General features: G+C 43.3%; 2 annotated features.

Annotated features, from left to right (window-relative positions):
- Positions 1,348–1,497: an enhancer, noted in NCBI's record as "active region_26618". NCBI's record gives its function as "activates an Ori minimal core promoter by ATAC-STARR-seq in GM12878 lymphoblastoid cells {active_cell/tissue: GM12878}" and the evidence as "EXISTENCE:reporter gene assay evidence [ECO:0000049][PMID:35858748]".
- Positions 18,510–18,619: an enhancer, noted in NCBI's record as "active region_26617". NCBI's record gives its function as "activates an Ori minimal core promoter by ATAC-STARR-seq in GM12878 lymphoblastoid cells {active_cell/tissue: GM12878}" and the evidence as "EXISTENCE:reporter gene assay evidence [ECO:0000049][PMID:35858748]".

Genomic DNA, 19,180 nt, shown 5'->3' with positions numbered 1-19,180 from the left:
AGTCCTTCTGGACCAGGGTCACGGGGGCTTTCAAAAGTGGAATGCTGGCCGGGCACGGTGGCTCACATCCGTAATCTCAGCACTTTGGGAGGTCGAGGCAGGCCGATTACTTGAGGTCAGGAGTTCAAGACCAGCCTGGCCAACATGGGGAAACCCTGTCTCTACTAAAAATACAAAAATTGGCCAGGCGTGGTGGTGGGTGCCCGTAATCCCAGTTACTCGGGAGGCTGAGGCAGGAGAATCGCTTGAACCTGGGAGGTGGAGGTTGCAGTGAGCAAAGATCCCACCACTGCACTCCAGCCTGGGCGACAGAGCGAGACTCCTTCTCAAAAAAAAGAAAAGAAAAGAAAAGAAAAGAAAAAAGAAATAAAGTAGAATATTGACACAATAGGCTTTTTAAAAAAACAAAATTTTCCCCACTGTTGAATGGTTTTCTCCTTCACTTTTCCTTTCCCAATGCTGCAGCCCACTTCTCTTCAACAACCTCACCTGAATCACACACATCAGAGCCAGAAGGGACCTAAAAGACCATTTGCTCCTGTGCTGCTCAAATTGTGCCCAATTGTCACTAGCACCAGAATCAGCTGTGCTTGTTAAAATGCAGATTCCAGGACCCTGACTCAGACGCCACTGGGTGGGTCAGAAACCTACATTTTAAATGGGCACGCACCCTCCTCCAGTATATACATGTGGTTATCCATGCGCACTAAATTTTGAGAAGTTCTTTAGTTCAGCTCTTTCCATTTACAAGGGAGGAACAAATCTCAGAGGTCAAGTGTCATGCCCAAGGTTATCCGGCAGAGTGGCAGCATCACTAGGACTGAAATCAAGACCCTGTACCCTGACCTCACATCAGGGTAAGTTTTTACTCCACGTTTCTGAGAGCCCTAGAGTTTTGAAGAGGTGCTTCAGAGGTTCTGCAAATATTTAATTGCAAAGTGACCTGTTTAAAAGAAAACAGAAATTTGGCATTTGCAACTTCTTATTATGTGAATCAGGATTTTAAAAAACCTTGTGGTTGCAAGGATCAGCCATCATGTTCATTTAATGTTATTGAGATCACTGCAAAAGTCCTACCTTTATTACTGGCTGACTTAGATAAAATAAACGGTTGAAATGCCACTTTTATTTATCTATTGGAATTCTTTTTAAAGTTTCATACGACAAAGCAATTCTACTGCTCTATATAAAATGTATTGGGCAATCACTAACTCTGCGAGCACAGTGTTAAGCACTGTGGAAATAAACAAAAACCACCCAAGTGAGAAGAAACAGAAGCTGTTTATTCAGCGCTTGCTTTAGCCAGGGTCTCAGCCACCATCACTCGCATTTGTCAGAGACTCAGGCAGGCAGGGCTGTGCAAAGCTTTATAGTGAAAAAAAGGGAAGTCTTCAGCTATGCCTTGATTGGAGCTTGTTGGCATGGGAAAGCTAGAGGTAGGCTGACTAGAAATTGAGCATCCAGTGTGATTGGATTGGGGACCATATTTGGCTTTCTGTGCTTGGTCCTGAGTTGGAAGTGGGGGCAGAAGTTAGGGCAGCTGCACTTACTGACTTGGTCAAGTTCTGACTGTTCTGGGATGATTGCTGCAGAGGCTGTGGTTTGGCTTCCTGGATGGGTTGCTGCAGAGGTTGTGGCCCAGAGTTCTATTGTCATATATGATCTGGCCATTGTCTGTTTGTATTTTCATTCTCTCAGCCTTATCTGCATTACTTCATCTAAGCCCTTTCACAACCCCATGAGATTGATAATATTATTATTTCAGCTTTGTGAATGAGAAATGGAATTGCAGAGAAGTTAGGTAACTTGGCCAAAGTCAGACAGTTATGAAGAGGTAAAGATAAAACTTGAACCTAGGCAGACTGACCTCAGAGCCCTGGGTTTCTGTCTCAGCTTTACAGGGAAAAAAAAATTATAGAAACTGACAAACTGTCTAAAAATTCCCATGAAAATGCAAAGGATCTAGATTAGCCAAAACATCTTTGAAAGAGAATAACAAAGTTGGAGGGCTAACACCACCTGATTTCAAGGCTTCATAAAAAATAATAGTCATCAAGATGAGGTGCTATTAACATCATGATAGACAGCTCAAATAGAACAGATCAAATGGAACAGAATAGAAAGTTCAGACACACATACACACACATATACAATTGATTTTTAAAAAGACCCAAAGGCAATGAGAAAGGATAATTTCTAATGAATAGTTTCAGTGAGTTGGGCTAGAACAGTTGGATAGCTATATGCAAAAAAAGAAAAAAAGAACTTCAATTCATACCTTATACCACGTATAAAAATTAAGTCAAAATCGATTATGCACCTAAGTGTAAAATCTAAAACTATAAAACTTCTAGAAAACATAGAAGTAAAATCTTTGTGACCTTTAATTAGATAATATGTCTTAGATATTACACTAAAAGCACAGTCAATAGGAAATAAATTTGATAAATTGGACTTCATCAAAATTAAAAACTTCTTTTCCTGAAAAGATGCCATGAGAAGAATGAAAAGACCAGCCACTGACTGGGAGAAAATATTTGCAAAGCCCATATCTGATAAAGGATGTGTATCCAGAATATATAAAGAACTTTGGAAATCAAATAAGAGCAAAGAATTCAACTTTTTTTCAAAAAGTAGGCAACAGATCTAAACAGTTATTTCACCAAAAAAATGGATGGCAAATAAGCACATGAAAAGATGTTCAACATTATTCACATTAAGGAAATATAAATTAAAATCACAATCAGAAACTACTGCATACCTATTAGATGTCTGATTAAAACCATGTGTTAATAAGAGTGCAGAGGAACTAGAACTCTCATACACTGTTGGTGGGAATGTAAAATGATAAAACCACTTTGGAAAACAGCTGATCAGTTTCTTAAAAAGTTAAACATACTTACCATATGATCTAGCCTTTCCACCTCTGTGTATTCACCCAAAAAAAGCACATATTCATACAAAGACTTGCACACAAATGTTCATAGTAGCTTTATTGTTTTCTTCCTCAACTTTATTGAGGCATAATTGACAAATAAAAATCATAGCAGCTCTTTTTTTAAGAGATAGGGTCTTGCTATGTTGCCCAGGCTGGACTCGAACTCCAGGGCTCTAGTGATCCTCCTGTCTCAGCCTCTCAGGTAACTGGGATTACAGGCAGGTGCCAGCACACCTGGCTTGAAGCTTTATTTTTTAATTTAATTTAATTTAATTTAATTTAATTTAATTTAATTTTTTGAGACGGAGTCTCACTCTGTCGCCTAGGCTGGAGTGCAGTGGCATTATTTTGGCTCACTGCAAGCTCCACCTCCTGGGTTCACGCCATTCTCCTGCCTCAGCCTCCCAAGTAGCTGGGACTACAGGTGCCGGCCACCATGCCCGGCTAATTTTTTGTATTTTTTAGTAGAGATGGGGTTTCACCGTGTTAGCCAGGATGGTCTTGATCTCCTGACCTTGTGATCTGCCTGCCCCGGCCTCCCAAAGTGCTGGGATTATAGGCGTGAGCCACCGCACCTGGCCTGAATTTTATTTTTTATTTTTATTATTATTTTTTATTTTTATTTTTATTTTTTGAGACGGAGTCTCGCTCTGTCGCCCAGGCTGGAGTGCAGTGGCGGGATCTCGGCTCACTGCAAGCTCCGCCTCCCGGGTTCACGCCATTCTCCTGCCTCAGCCTCCCAAGTAGCTGGGACTACAGGCGCCCGCCACTACGCCCGGCTAATTTTTTGTATTTTTAGTAGAGACGGGGTTTCACCGTTTTAGCCGGGATGGTCTCGATCTCCTGACCTTGTGATCCGCCCGCCTCGGCCTCCCAAAGTGCTGGGATTACAGGCGTGAGCCACCGCGCCCGGCCGAATTTTATTTTTTTTAGAGATAGTGTCTCGCTCTGTTGCTCAGGTTGGAGTACAGTGGCATGATCGTAGCTCACTGCAGCCTCAAAATCCTGGGCTTAAGTGATCTTCCCACCTCAGCCTCCTGTGTAGCTGGGATTACAGGTGCAAGCCACCATGCTGGGCTAATTTTTAAATTTTTTGTAGAGATGGGGTCTTGCTATATTGCCCAGGCTGGTCTCGAATTTCTGGCCTCAAGCCATCTTCCCATCTTGGCCTCCCAAAGTGCTGGGATTACAGGTGTGAGTACTTCACTGGTCTGCAGCTTTATTTTTAGTAGCCAAAAATAGGAGCCAATCCAATGACTCAATAAATGAATGGCTAGACAAACTGAAGTATATTCATATAATGGAATGACCTCAGTAAGTGAACATTTTTTCAGTAACAGCTTTATTGAGATATAATTCACATAGGTAAAAATTAGCCATTTTAAATATGTAATTTTGTAGTTTTTAGTATATGTACGGGTTGTGCAAACACCATCACAATCAATTTGAGAATATTTGTATTACCCCACAAAGAAATTCTGTACCCTTTAGCAGTCACCTTCATTGCCCCCAGCCACCCTCACTCTGACCTGGGCAACCACTAATCTACTTTCTGTCTCTATTTGCCAATTCTGGACATTTCACATAAAAATGGAATCAGGCTGGGCATGGTGGCTCACACCTATAATCCCAGCACTTTGGGAGGCCAAAGTGGGCGGATCACTTGAGGCCAGGAGTTCAAGCCCAGCCTGGCCAACATGGCGAAACCCCATCTCCACTAAAAATACAAAAATTAGCTGGGTGTGGTGGCGCATGCCTGTGATCCCAACTCCTTGGGAGGCTGAGGCAGAAAAATTGCTTGAACCCGGGAGGTGGAGGTTGCAGTGAGCTGAGATTGTGCCACTGCACTCCAACCTGGGTGACAGTGACACCCTGTCTGAAAAAATAAAAAATAAAAATAAAAATAAATAAAAATGGAATCATACAATATGTGGGGTTGGTATGTGTGTGTTTGGCTTCTTTCACTTAGCTGAATGTTTTCAAGGTTAATCTGTGTTGTGGCGCGTATCAGTGCTTCATTCCCTTTTATGGCTGAATAATATTTCACTGTATGGATAGACCACATTTTGTTTATCCATTCCTCAGTTGGTGGACATTGGAGTTCTTTTCACATGTTGACTATTATAAATAATGCTGCCATTGGCCAGCTGCCGTGCCTCACATCTGTAATCCCAGCACTCTGGGAGGCCAAGGCAGGCAGATCATTTGAGGTCAGAAGTTTGAGACCAGCCTGGCCAACATGGTAAAACCCTGTCTCTACTAAACAAAATACAAAAATTAGCTGGGTGTGGTGGTGGGCACCTGTAATCCTAGCTACTCTGGAGGCTGAGGCAGGAGAATCACTTGAACCCAGGAGGCAGAGGTTGCAGTGAGCCGAGATCGCGCCACTGCATTCCAGCCTGGGTGACAGAGCGAGACTCCGTCTCAAAAAATAATAATAATAGGCTGGGCGCAGTGGCTTACGCCTGTAATCCCAGCACTTTGGGAGGCCGAGGTGGGCGGATCACGAGGTCAGGAGATGGAGACCATCCTGGCCAACATGGTGAAACCCCATCTATACTAAAAATACAAAAAATTAGCCAGGCGTGGTGGCGCATGCCTATAATCCCAGCTACTTGGGAGGCTAAGGCAGGGGAATCACTTGAACCCAGGAGGCGGAGGCTGCAGTGAGCCAAGATCACGCCACTGAACTCCAGCCTGGCGACAGAGCAAGACTCCACCTCAAAAAAATGTATAATAATAAATAAGGAATAATGCTGCTATGAACATTCATATACTGGCTTTTGTGTAGACACATTTTCTCATTTCTCTTGGGTATATACACTTAGGAGTGAAATTTTGGGGTCAAAAGATACCTCTATGTTTAAATGTTTGAGAAACTGCCAGACTGTTTTCCAAAGTGGCTGCATCATTATACAAGTCCACTCACTAGCAGGGTATGAGAGTTCCAATTTCTCCCTACCCTCACTAACAGTTGCTTTTGTCTGTTTTTTAAATTTTTGTCATCCGAATGGGTGCGCAGTGATATCTCATTGTGGTTTGTTTTTAGTAACAGCTTTATTGAGAGATAATTCAAATAGCGTACGACTCACCCACTTAAAGTACATGCAGTAATGTGGATAGATCTTAAAATAATTAGACCAAGTGAAATAAACCAGACAAGAGTAAGGACTTTTGAATAAAAGCTATGTTAACTGGAAATAAAAGAATAAATATTGTACGATTGTATTCCTATAAAATTCTAGAAAATATAAACCAATCCATAATTACAGAAAGCAGATAAGGGACAATGGGGGGTTGAGGAGAGAGTTTGGGGGAAGTTTCCAGGAAGAAGGGATCACAGGAGGACACAAGGAAACTTTTGGGGGCTGATATTTATTTTTATTATCTTTTTTTTTTTTTTGACAGCCTCTCACTCTATCGCCCAGGCTGGAGTGCGGTGGCATGATCTCAGCTCACCGCAACCTCCACCTGCCGGGTTCAAGTGATTCCTGTGAACCACCGTGCCTGGCCTATTTTCATTATCTTGACTGTGGTCATGGTTTCACGGGTGTATATGTATGTCAAATCTTATCCAATTACACTATAAACATGTAGTTTACTGTATGTCAATTATATCTCAGTAAAGCTATTTTGAAAGAATACAAAGGACTCTACAATATTCTGTCACCTCCCCTTTGTCATGTCACTATACTTTTACCCTGAAAGCTCCCTCCAAACCATATCCCTTAAAATTTATTTATTTATTTATTTATTTATTTATTTTGAGACGGAGTTTCACTCTCGTTGCCCAGGCTGGAGTGCAATGGCGTGATCTCGGCTCACCGCAACCTCTGCTGCCCAGGTTCAAGCAATTCTCCTGCCTCAGCCTCCCGAGTAGCTGGGATTACAGGCACCTGCCACCGCACCCAGCTAATTTTTTTTGTAGTTTTTAGTACAGACGGGCTTTCACCATCTTGGCCAGGCTGGTCTTGAACTCCTGACCTCATGATCCACCCACCTAGGCTTCCCAAAGTGCTGGGGTTACAGGCGTGAGCCACCGCGCCCGGCATGACCTCTGTTTTATACCATTAACTATGAGATTAACAAAAACCTTTACCTTTGTGCAGAAGGTTAAAAAAAAAAAAAGCATAGTCAAGGAAAAGGAGATGTGTTACCTCTTCATACACTCCTACAACCATGGCATTGCAAAAAATAAAAATAACCACCTTTAAAAAAAAACCTAATTTAAATTGCTGTTCAATAATAATAATATATGTAAGATGATTAGATCAGTTCCTGGCATATGGTAAATATAGGTAAGTGTTTGCTATTTATTTTTGAAGCAAAAATGAGGATTTGTCAAAAATTGGGTGAGCAGCTACTTATGGAGGATAAAAGAACCTTTCAGGCTGTTTGGGAAAAGCTTCATTCTAAGTTTCTTCTTTGTAAGAGGACCTATTGCTGCCAGCACTTCTCTTGCTAACAATTCTGGTGGGTGATTTATCTTCGTTCTGCATTTCTTTCCGTAGCTCCTGTAGACATTGAAGGTAGGGTGAACCTGTTACTAAGGGGAGATACAAAAGTAGTGCAGGGGGTAAGATTAATCGCATGGGAATGAAATATGCTCTGAGCTTCTGAACATTTGTTACGTGAACCTGAGGAATGAAATGATATACTGAGCACTCCACAAGCTGTTTTTTCCGGTCAGTTGTCTGGTCAGAAATTTGTTAACTCACTCCTCCCTGATTCATCACACTGTCAGAAAGCTTGTATAACACGGAGTCTGAAGCATTCCAGAATCTTTCTTTTTTCTTTTTTTTAATAGAAATGAAGTCTTGCTATGTTGCCCAGGCTGGTCTCAAACTCCTGGGCTCAAGTGACCCTCCCACCTTGGCCTCCCAAAGTGCTAAGATTACAGGTGTGAGCCACCACATCCAGCCTAGAATCTTAAATTTACTATTGTACTTTGGGACCACAAGAACTTAAAAGTAAGAGGAATAAAATTATCATGAATATTAGTTAGAATTCAGTTTGATAATAACAGAAAAAACCTAAAACACCGGCTGGACGAGGTAGCTCATGCCTATAATCCCAGCACTTTGGGAGGCCAAGGTGGGTGGATCACGAGGTCATGAGACCATCCTGGCCAACATGATGAAACCCCGTCTCTATTAAAATACAAAAAAGGTTAGCTGGGTGTGGTGGTGCAGGCCTGTAGTCCCAGCTACTTGGGAGGCTGAGACAGGAGAATCGCTTGAACCCTGGAGGTGGAGGTTGCAGTGAGCTGAGATTGCGCCACTGCACTCCAGCCTGGGCAACAGAGTGAGACTCCGTCTCAAAAAAAAAAAAAAAAAAAAAGAAGAGGAAGGGGAATTATTACATCAGAGGGCAATTAGCAATCATTTTTTTTTTTTTTTTTTTAGATGGAGTCTCGCTGTGTCACCTAGCCTGGAGTGCAGTGGCTCGATCTTGGCTCACTGAAACCTCCACCTGCCAGGTTCAAGTGTTTCTTGTGCCTCAGCCTCCCGAGTAGCTGGGACTACAGGCGTGCACCACCATGCCAGGCTAATTTTTGTATTTTTAGTAGAGACAGGGTTTCACCATGTTGTTCAGGCTGGTCTCGAACTCCTGACCTCAAGTGATCGGTCTGTCTTGGCCTTCCAAAGTGCTAGGATTACAGGCGTGAGCCACCGTGCCCGTCCTAATCATAGAAAGTTAATAATAAGATCAATATATAATTAGCATGTGACAAAAAAGCCTGGCTCCTAGGATTTGATTGTTTAAATTAAAAGATTGAAAAAAATCTGTTTGTTAGAAGGGGCATTGTTTAGCATGGATTCTTGGAAGAGGACACTTCTGGGAGGTGGACATAGGCATTGCCCATCCATGTATTGGGCACAAAGGAAATCACAGCCTTTAAATGACAAAACAACTTATAATGGAGATGTGGAGGCAGGAGGTTGTAACCAATGGGATGTGAGTACTCTGCAGTAAGTAACCTGTTGGTGAGACCACCTCTATTATAGGATGACTGGCCTAGGCTATCTTAGCCTCACCTGTTACCACTGAACCCTGGGGCTTCGTCTAATTTCCATGTGTTTTCCATGGCCACTTGGCAGTCAACTTTCTCATTTTCATGGCGACCTACCGACCAGAGAGAATATGCTGCAGAGAGAGACTTGTAGGGGAGAAGTAGCTGACCCTGTAACAGTCCCAATTATCATGGTCAATGAGTGAATTGGCAGCCCGGCGTCTCCCTCAGCCTCCTATGTCCCTTTTCCAATGTGAGTCTGTTCTCAGAGTCTGGTCCTCGCTGTGTATTGCCAGGGGTGAACCTGTGGTCCTTCAGGGTGGAAGTTCTGATCCTGAAAAGTGTGATTGCCTGGCCAGGCGCAGTGGCTCACGCCTGTAATCCCAGCACTTTGGGAGGCCGAGGTGGGTGGATCACGAGGTCAGGAAATCTAGACCATCCTGGCCAACATGGTGGAACCCCATCTCTACTAAAAATATAAAAAATTAGCTGGGTATGGTGGTACGCACCTGTAGTACCAGCTACTCGGGAGGCTGAGGCAGGGGAATCGCTTGAACCTGGGAGGCGGAGATTGCAGTGAGCCAAGATCACGCCACTGCACTCCAGCCTGGCGACAGAGCAGACTCCATCTCAAAAAAAAAAAAAAAAAAAAAAAAGGTGATTGCCCTGAAGGAGACTTTTCCAGCTCCAAACCACTTCCCTTAGATGACATCAATCAGCTCTCTGCTGGTTCGAAGAATATGTTGAAAACAGTGTCAGAGTTAGCTATTTTCATTTTATTATAGTTCTTTGAGAACTGGGAAGAGACAGTGGGAGTGTCTTGGAATATATATTAGGTTTGGTATCAAGAAACTGGTCTAAATTCTGTTATTGCCAGTAACTACCTTTAAACCTCAGTTTCCTCATTCATTTGTAAAGTGGAGCAAACTCATAGCTGTCTTGCTCGCCTTAAAGCTTTTAATGCAAATGGTAAAACTCCTTTCTAAAGTAGATTATTATTCTGTGAACACCTGTGGTATTCAGAGTTTAATATAAAGAAATACGATCAATATCCATTATAATTACACCTTGTTTACAACTTTTTTTTTTTTTTTTTTTTTTTGAGACGGATTCTCGCTCTGTCGCCCAGGCTGGAGTGCAGTGGCGCGATCTCTGCTCACCGCAAGCTCCGCCTCCCGGGTTCACGCCATTCTCCTGCCTCAGCATCCCAAGTAGCTGGGACTACAGGCACCCGCCACCATGCCCGGCTAATTTTTTTGTATTTTTTAGTAGAGACGAGGTTTCACCGTGTTAGCCAGGATGGACCTTGTCTATAACTTTCAAGCAAAATGTCTTAGTTGGTAGAATACTCAGCACCTGTACCATGTCAGATAGTTTACAGTACCCAGAGGCACTAAAACATGGTTTTTGTCCTCTGTGAGCTTGTGGTTTTCCCCCTAATATGTTCTCTTTTTTTTCCACAATGAAAATAGCTTTTAAAAACATAAATATCATATATGCTGGTAGAGAAAAATAGAAAAGTATAAGAAGAAAGTAAAAATCTCCTTAAGGCCGGGCACAATGACTCACACCTGTAATCCCAGCACTTTGGGAGGCCGAGGCAGGAGAATTGCTTGAGACCAGGAGTTCCAGACCAGCCTGGGCAACATAATATTTGTCTTATAAATTAACATACTGAGACCCTGCTTCTACAAAAAATACAAAAATTGGCCTTGGCTACAGGTGGTGCTTGCCTGTAGTTCCAGCTACTTGGGATGCTGAGGTGGGTGTATCACCTGAGCTAGGGAGGTGGAGGCTGCAGTGATCTGTGATCGTGCCGCTCCACTCCAACCTGGGTGACAGAGTGAGACCCTGTTTCAAACAAAACAAAACTCCTTCAAATCCATTGCTCAGAGGTAATCACTGCACATTTTGTTTGTTTGTTTGAGACAGAGTTTTGCTCTTGTCATCCAGGCTGGAGTGCAAAGGCACCATCTCGGCTCGCTGCAACCTCTGCTTCCCAGGTTTAAGCAATTCTCCAGCCTCAGCCTCCCTAGTATCTGGGACTACAGGCTTGCACCACCACGCCTAGCTAATCTTTGTATTTTTAGTAGAGACAGGGTTTCATGATGTTGGCCGGACTGGTCTCAAACTCCTGACCTCAGGTGATCCGCCTGCCTCAGCCTCCCAAAGTACTGGGATTACAGGCATGAGCCACTGCGCCCGGCCGATCACTGCACATTTTGGTGCTCTCCCTAGCTGGCCTCATTTATAGAAGTGTACAAATGTAATTAGAGGGGGAAAATTGTAATCATCAGAATGTAAGAGGGGAAGGCTTGTGTTCCTCTTGTGTTTCAATATAATTTTTTTTTTTTTTGCAGGAGGGAAAGGTAACATGCATGCATGATAAATGATTCAAATAGTAAAAAGTGTATAATCCTGTAAAAGTATGTCTTTCTACTTTCCTTGATTTACAGCATCCTTCCCCAGAGGAAACTTGTGACCACCATCTTGTGTTTCTTTTTTGAGAATTCTTTGCTTAGCTCTGTATTCCTTTGGATGAAGTTTTAAAATTTTTGCCTTATAAATTAACACACAGAACAGGCGAGGTGACTCACACTTGTAATTCCAGCGCTTTGGGAGGCCAAGGATTTGGGAGGATTACTTGAGGCCAGGAGTTTGAGACCACCCTGGGCAACATAGCAAGATCCTATTTCTATTAAAAAATTAACAAAGAAGGCTGGGGGTGATGGCTCATGCCTGTCATCCCAGCACTTGAGAGGCTGAGGCAGGCAGATCGCTTGAGGTCAGGAGTTTGAGACCAGCCTGGCCAACATGGTGAAACCCTGTATCTACTAAAAATACAAAAATTAGCTGGGCATGGTGGTGCATGCCCATAGTCCCAGCTACTCAGGGAATTGAGGTGAGAGGATTGCTCGAGCCCAGGAGGTCAAGGCTGCCAGTGAGCTGTGATCACATGCCCCTGGACTCCAGCTTAGGTGACAAAGCAAGACCCTGTGTCCAAAAAGTAAAATAAAAAAATTAAAATTTAAAAAATTAACAAAGAAATTAACATACAGCAATATTGACCCTTTTTTAAAAGTACTACAAGTTTTAACACATGCAGATTCTTTTAACCACCTCCACAATCAGCATACAGAATGGCTTCATCACCCCTCTAAACTCTCTTAGGCTATCTTCTTTTGAGACAAGGTCTCATTCTGTCACCCAGGCTGGAGTGGCATAATCATGGTTCACTACAGCCTTGACCTCCCTGGGCTCAAGTGATCCTCCCGCTTCAGTCTTCCAAGTAGCTAGGACTACAGGTGCACACCACCACACACAGCTAATTTTTTAAGGTTTTTGCAGAGACAGGGTCTCATGTTGCCCAGGCTTGTCTCGAACTCCTGGGCTCAATCAATCCTCCCATCTTGGCCTCCAAAAGTGCTAGGATTATAGGCATGAGCCACCGTGCTTGGCTTTATGCTATCTTTCTGTAATTATATCCTCCCCTCAATTCCATATCCCTAGAAATCATTAATATGTCCTTCAACACTATAGTTTTGTCTTTTCGAGAATGTCATATAATAAAATCATACAATGTGTAACTTTTTTTTTTTTTTGAGACAGGATCTTGCTCTGTTGCCCAAGCTGGAGGTGCATTGGCACAAACATAGCTCACTGCAGCTTTGACTTCCTGATCTCAAGTGATCCTCTCACCTTAGCCTCTAGAGTGGTTGGGACTACAGGTATGTGCCACCACGTATGGCTAATTTTTGCATATTTTGTAGGGATGGGATCCCACTATGTTGCCCAGGCTGGTTCAAACTCCTGGTCTCAAGTGATCCTCCTGCCTTGATCTCCCAAAGTGCTGGGATTACAGGTGTCAGCCACTGCACCTAGTCAATATGTAAGTCTTGAGACTGGCTTCTCACACTCAGTGTAATGCCTCTGAGGATCATCCCAGTTGTTACCAGTGTCATAATTTGTTTCTTTCCATTGTTGACTGGTATCTCATTGTATGAATGTACCAGTGCAAAAAGTTTCTTGGCCGGGTGCGGTGGCTCACACCTGCAATCCCAGCACTTTGAGAGGCCGAGGTGGGCAGATTATAAGGTCAGGAGTTTGAGACCAGCCTGACCCACATGGTGAAACCCCATCTCTACTAAAAATATAAAAATTAGCCGGGCGTGGTGGCGGGTGCCTGTAATCCCAGCTCATCGGGAGCCTGAGGCAGGAGAATCGCTTGAACCAGGGAGGCACAGCTTGCAGTGAGCAGAGATAGCGCCACTGCACTCCAACCTGGGCGACAGAGTGAGATTCCATCTCAAAAAAAAAATAAAAAGTTTCTTTATAGTTTCAGCCACTGAAGAACATCTGGATAATTTCTAGTTGGGGGCAATTATGAATAGCGCTGCTATAAACATTCACATGCAGAATTTTGTGTGCACCTATGTCTTCATTTCTGTAAATACGTAAGCGTGGGGTTGCTGGGTCATGTGGTAGGTATATGGTTAACTTTATAAGATGCCAAACTGTTTTCCAAGAGGCTGTACCATTTTCCATTCCTACCGGAAATGTATGAGTTGAAGTTGTTTCACATTCTCGTCAGCACTATTTATTCCTAATATCTTTTTTTTTTCTTTTGAGACAGAGTCTTGCCCTGTTGCCCTGGCTGGAGTGCAGTGGCTCAATCTTGGCTCACTGCAACCTCCACTTCCCAGGTTCAAGCGTTCGAGCGAGGAGTCTCGCTCTGTCGCCTAGGCTAGAGTACAGTGGCTCCATCTCGGCTCACTGCAAGCTCCGCCTTCCGGGGTCACGCCATTCTCCTGCCTCAGCCTCCTGAGTAGCTGGGACTACAGGCACCCGCCACCACACCCAGCTAAGCTTTTTGTATTTTTAGTAGAGTCGGGGTTTCACAGCGTTAGCCAGGATGGTCTCCATCTCCTGACCTTGTGATCTGCCTGCCTTGGCCTCCCAAAGTGCTGGGATTACAGGTGTGAGCCACCGCGCCCAGCCTCAAGCAATTCTTGTGCGTCAGCCACCTGAGTAGCTGGGATTACAGGTGTGCACCACCAGGCCCAGCTAATTTTTGTATTTTTAGTAGAGATGGAGTTTCACCATGTTGGCCAGGTTGGTCTTGAACTCGTGGCCTCAAGTGATCTGCCCACCTCAGCCTCCAAAAGTGCTGGGATTACAGACGTGAGTTGCCATTCCTGGCCTGTTATTTTTTATTTTTATTATTCTATTAAGTGTGTAGTGATATCTTAATTTGTATTTCCCTAATGGCTAATGATGTTGAACATCTTCTCATGTACTTATTTGTCTTCTATATATTTTCTTTGGTGAATTGTCTGTTCAAGTTTTTTGCCCATTTTTAAATTGGGTTGTTTGTCCATTTCTTATGACTGAATTTTGGGAGTTCTTTATATATTCCAGATGCAAATTCTTTGCCATGTATGTGATTTGCAATATTATGCCTCATCTGTAGTTTATTATTTAATTCTTTTAAAATTGTCTTTTACAGAGCAACAGTTCAAGTTTGATGAAAACTGGAAGAAAATATTTTAATAAACGTTTGGGTTAGAGGTAAAAATTAGTGGTCAGTAGAACACCCAAGAAAGGAAACAGCCTCCCTGCACTGTTTGGGGGTGGTAGCTGGCAGGCACCTAAAAACACACCAGTTTTTGAAAACTTCTCTAGCTTTCTCACTGTGTTACTTTCACACTGTGCTATGGTTTGAATGTTTGTGTGCCCCCAAAAGTGATACATTGAAACCTCATCTCCAATATGATGACATGAGCAAGTGGGAGTTTTAAGAGATGAGGTCATGAGGGCAGAGACTTAATCAATAAAATTAGTAACTTTATAAAAGAGGCCCCAGAGAACCTCACGGCCACTTCCACCATGTGAAGACACAGCAAGACGCTGCAATCTATGAACCAAGAAATGGGCCCTCACCAGACACTGCATCTGCCTGTGTCTTGATCTTGGACTTCCCAGCTTCTAGAACTGTAAGAAATCAATTTCTGTTGTGTATCAGCCACCCAGTCTATGGTATCGTAGCCCAAATGGACTAAGACACACTGCTTTCTCAAATATTCTTTCTCATAGTCTCAACAACCATTGTGTCAATGTATTGCCTTCAAACACTTTGAAACGTTGACATTTTCGGAGACTGTGCCAAAAAGGAGGAAATATCCCTTAAGCCAGGCTTCCATCCTGAATTCTACACACAAGATGAAGAGAAGAGATTCTTTTACTCCTTCCAGAAAGGGGTGAAAGAAGGAAAGAGGAAGCTAATAGGAACAGAAAAGCTGTGACCTGCCCATGTGACCATTCCCTGCCACCTCCAAATGGTCACCAAGCATTTCCAGAAATACCTCATGAATGCTCTGAGTTGCTCCATCTACATGATAGGGAGTTCTACGTGGGATTCCTTGCAAGCAGCTCTGATGGCAGGAGGGGAGACCATGGGAAAAGGAGCACTGGGGCTGGCAGAAATCTACAAGGATAGTTTTGGATTTCGACAGCCTGTGGCCTTAGCAGGGAATCTGTGTAAACTCTGCCGGGAATCCCAAGAAATGAGGCAGTGAAGGAGTGGGGGTGGGGTCTCTGCTAACTTCTGGTATGTGCATGCATGTATAAATATAAAAATATCTTTTTTTTTTTTTTTTGAGACAGAGTCTCACTCTGTCACCCAGGCTGCAGTGCAGTCGCATGATCTCAGCTCACTGCAACCTCTGCCTCCCGGGTTCAAGCGATTCTCCTGCCTCAGCCTCCCGAGTAGCTGGGACTCTAGGCACATGCCACCACGCCTGGCTAATTTTTGTATTTTTTAATAGAGATGGGGTTTCACCATATTGGCCAGGCTGGTCTCGAACTCCTGACCTCGCGATCCACCCACCTCAGATTCCCAAAGTGCTGGAATTACAGGTGTGAGCCACCACACCCTGCCAATATAAACATATCTTAAAATTTGCATGTAACTGGAACCACATTACATATGGTTAGAGAGGCCATTTTCCACTCAGCCGTATGTCAGCAAATATACAATATTTCATGAAACATAATATGCTATCACCTGTTAAATGCCCTATAAGTTTAGGTGCCATTAAGAAAGAAAAAAATGCTGCCAAATAAACTGCGATATGCCATGGAATGTAACAACTGTGAAAAAGCATAAAATAATCATTTTAGAATTGGTGGCATATGGTAGTATGCATCATTCTTTGTCATGACTGCATAGTATTTCACTCTGTGGATGTTTCAGAATTTAACTACCTGTCCATAGGTGTACATAGTGTTTCCATTTTTCACTTATGTGGGCAATACATTGTCAAATAATCTTGTACATCTATCATTGCTCACTTGTCAGATTACCTAGTTGGAATAAATTCCTAGGAATGTAGTTTTGAGGGTCAGAGGTTACAGATATTCAAAATTTTGGCATAGATTGCTAGAATTCCCCTCAGCACTCCAAGATGACACCCTTTCCCGCACAACCTTGATAACATAGACAAATCTTTTTCAATATGCAAACTGTTTCCAATATAATTGAAAAGTGCTGCCATTTTGCTCTTTACTTGCATTTTCATTGACTACTGGTGAGGCTTAACATCTTTTCATGTATCTATTAGTCTTTTGTGTTTCTTTAGGAGCCTGTTCATATCCCTCATAAGAACTGCTTTTTACTTAACTATTTATTTATTGACACAGGGTCTTGCTCTGTTATCCAGGCTGGAGTGCAGTGGCGCAATCACAGCTCACTGCAGCCTGGACCTCCCAGGCTCAAGCAATCCTAGAGCTGCCTTTTGAAAAGGAGACCACACATAGGCAGTTATAGTAGGCAAATTAGTGATTCTTCAAGAGGAAAGCAGCAGAGTCATAGAAAACAAAGAACACCAAATAGGACAAATGTGTTTTTTATTTATTTTTGAATTCAGAAACTGTGGTGAAATGAGCAGAATTGCCTGGAAGCTGCTCTGGAAGCTCATTCAAGGTTACCTGGGCCAGCCAGCTGGAACTGCAAGTAAGCCTATTCCTGGTGGAAGGAGCTCAGCCTCCACAGCATGGGCAGACTCCCTCCTCACACAGGGTGACTGCACCTTCCCACAGGCCCAAGGTCTCCAAATACTGGGAAGCAGGAATTCCTCCCATCTCCTCTGAACCCCTGGCACCCTACATCCAAGCTGCCCAGCACCCAAACCACTCATGTGTTCCCTACTCACAGACTGGTTTCTTACATTTATTCCCTAACTAATACAGCAGAACATGGACCTATCCTGCAGATCCAGCTGAGACCCTGACCTTCACATACTTCTCTATGGGACGGAGAATAGAATGGGAGACTCCTGCTTCCCCTTTGCTTGTTGACCCAGCCTTGTAAGATTTCACTTTCCCTAATAAAACCCAATCCGTAGCCCACGCAGAGTGACATATTAAAATTCATCCTAAATCCTGGAACACATGGGCAATGACCCATAAAGGCCAATGTGCCATGACAGAAACACTAAGAGTCATATCGTCCATCACTCTGTCTCAGTTCCTGTTTATTGTTGGCCAGAGAACTAGGATGATCCTCTGAGCAGACATGTCCTTGGAGGATAATTAAATGGGAACTATATAAATATTTCCATAAATTAAACCAAGGAAGTGTATTAAGTTCAGCTGAATCTGGATACCAACTGCTTCCTTTGACCACATCAGAAAGTCTCCTTTTAAAAGACATTAAAAAAGTTTTTAAATAACTTTTGCCAGGCACAGTGGCTCATGCCTGTAATCCCAGCTACTTGGCAAGCTGAGGTGGGAGGATGGCTTCAGCCCAGGTGTTCAAGGCTGCTGTGAGCTATGACTACACCACTGCACTCCAGCCTGGGTGACAGAGGCCATATGTCTTTAAAAAAAAAAAGACAGAGAAAATTACTTTTTATTGTGGCAAAATAAAAAAAGGTATAATATAAAATTCACTATCTTCACAATTTCTAAATGTACAGTTCAGTGTTAAGTATATTCGCATTGTCAGCAAACCAAAACTGGGTCCATTTGCCAGCATGCAACAGAAAGCCAAACACCAAAACACACAGTTTTTGCAGTGAGAAAGGTTTGTGAGTTGACAGACAAAGAGACAGGAAGAAATGTTCAAATCTGTCTCCTGGAGCTGGAGGCTGGGTTGGATTTTAATTAGCATAGGGTAATGAGGAGTGATCTGACTAGATCCTGCCATAGGGTCACCCCAGAGCTCAATCTGATTGGATCATGGGTCCTGCCATGGTGTCTGCTTTTATTTTTATTTTTATTTTTTATTTTAGAGATGGGATCTCACCATGTTGCCCAGGCTGGTCTCGAACTCCTGGGCTCAAGTAATCCTTCTGCCTCGGTCTCCCAGAGTGCTGGGGTTACTGGCGTACACCACCAGCGCCCAGCCTGGTGTTTGCTTCTTAATTCAGCCTGGTTCCTTGGTCCGAGCACTTAGTTCCCATTCATGGTTGCACACGATGTTCATCCGGGCATTGCCCCCTCCAACCTGCAGGGCCATGACCACTGAAAAACAACTCACAACTTTGCTACATAGAAGTTGAACCAGATTGGTGTAATGTGGTTACAACATCGCTGTGCAGCCAGTCCTCAGAACTCCCTCATCTTGCAAAACTGAAACTCTGTACAAATCAACTCTCCATTTTCCCCTCCCCTCGGCCCCTGGCAACTGCCATTCTACTTTGTTTTTGTGAATCTGACTATTCTAGTTACCTCCTATGAGTGGAACCAAATAATATTTGTCTTTTTCCGACTGGTTTATTTCACTAGTATAATGTCCTCGGTTCATCCGTATTGTTGCATGTGTCAACATTTCCTTCCTTTTTAAATGGACTGTGGTGATGGTTGCACATTTCTGTGAATATACTAGAAACCACTGAGTTGTAATACTTTAAGTGGGTGAATTGTATGGTGTGTGAATTATATCACAATTAAGTATGGTGTGTGAATTATATCACAATTAAGCTGTTTAGGGGAAAAAAGGGAGAATTTGTTAGAAAGATACAGACTCATGTAACCCAAAGACAGGGACTGGGCCTGCTGGATGCTCACAGGCTGGGTGGGGACTCTGGGGAGGATGCTGAACTAAGCTCTCTGGTTCAGCCCTCTGGCCCAGAGCAGGGGTCCTCACCATTAGTCAAGCCCCTAACCTGTAGTGTCGGTACCACCTGGGAATTCCTTAGAAAAGCAGATCCTTGGGCCACACCCCAGGC

The sequence above is a fragment of the Homo sapiens genome, chromosome 7 (assembly GCF_000001405.40).
Source record: "Homo sapiens chromosome 7, GRCh38.p14 Primary Assembly".
Taxonomy (NCBI): domain Eukaryota; kingdom Metazoa; phylum Chordata; class Mammalia; order Primates; family Hominidae; genus Homo; species Homo sapiens.
This window is presented reverse-complemented; position numbering and strand designations above follow the sequence as displayed.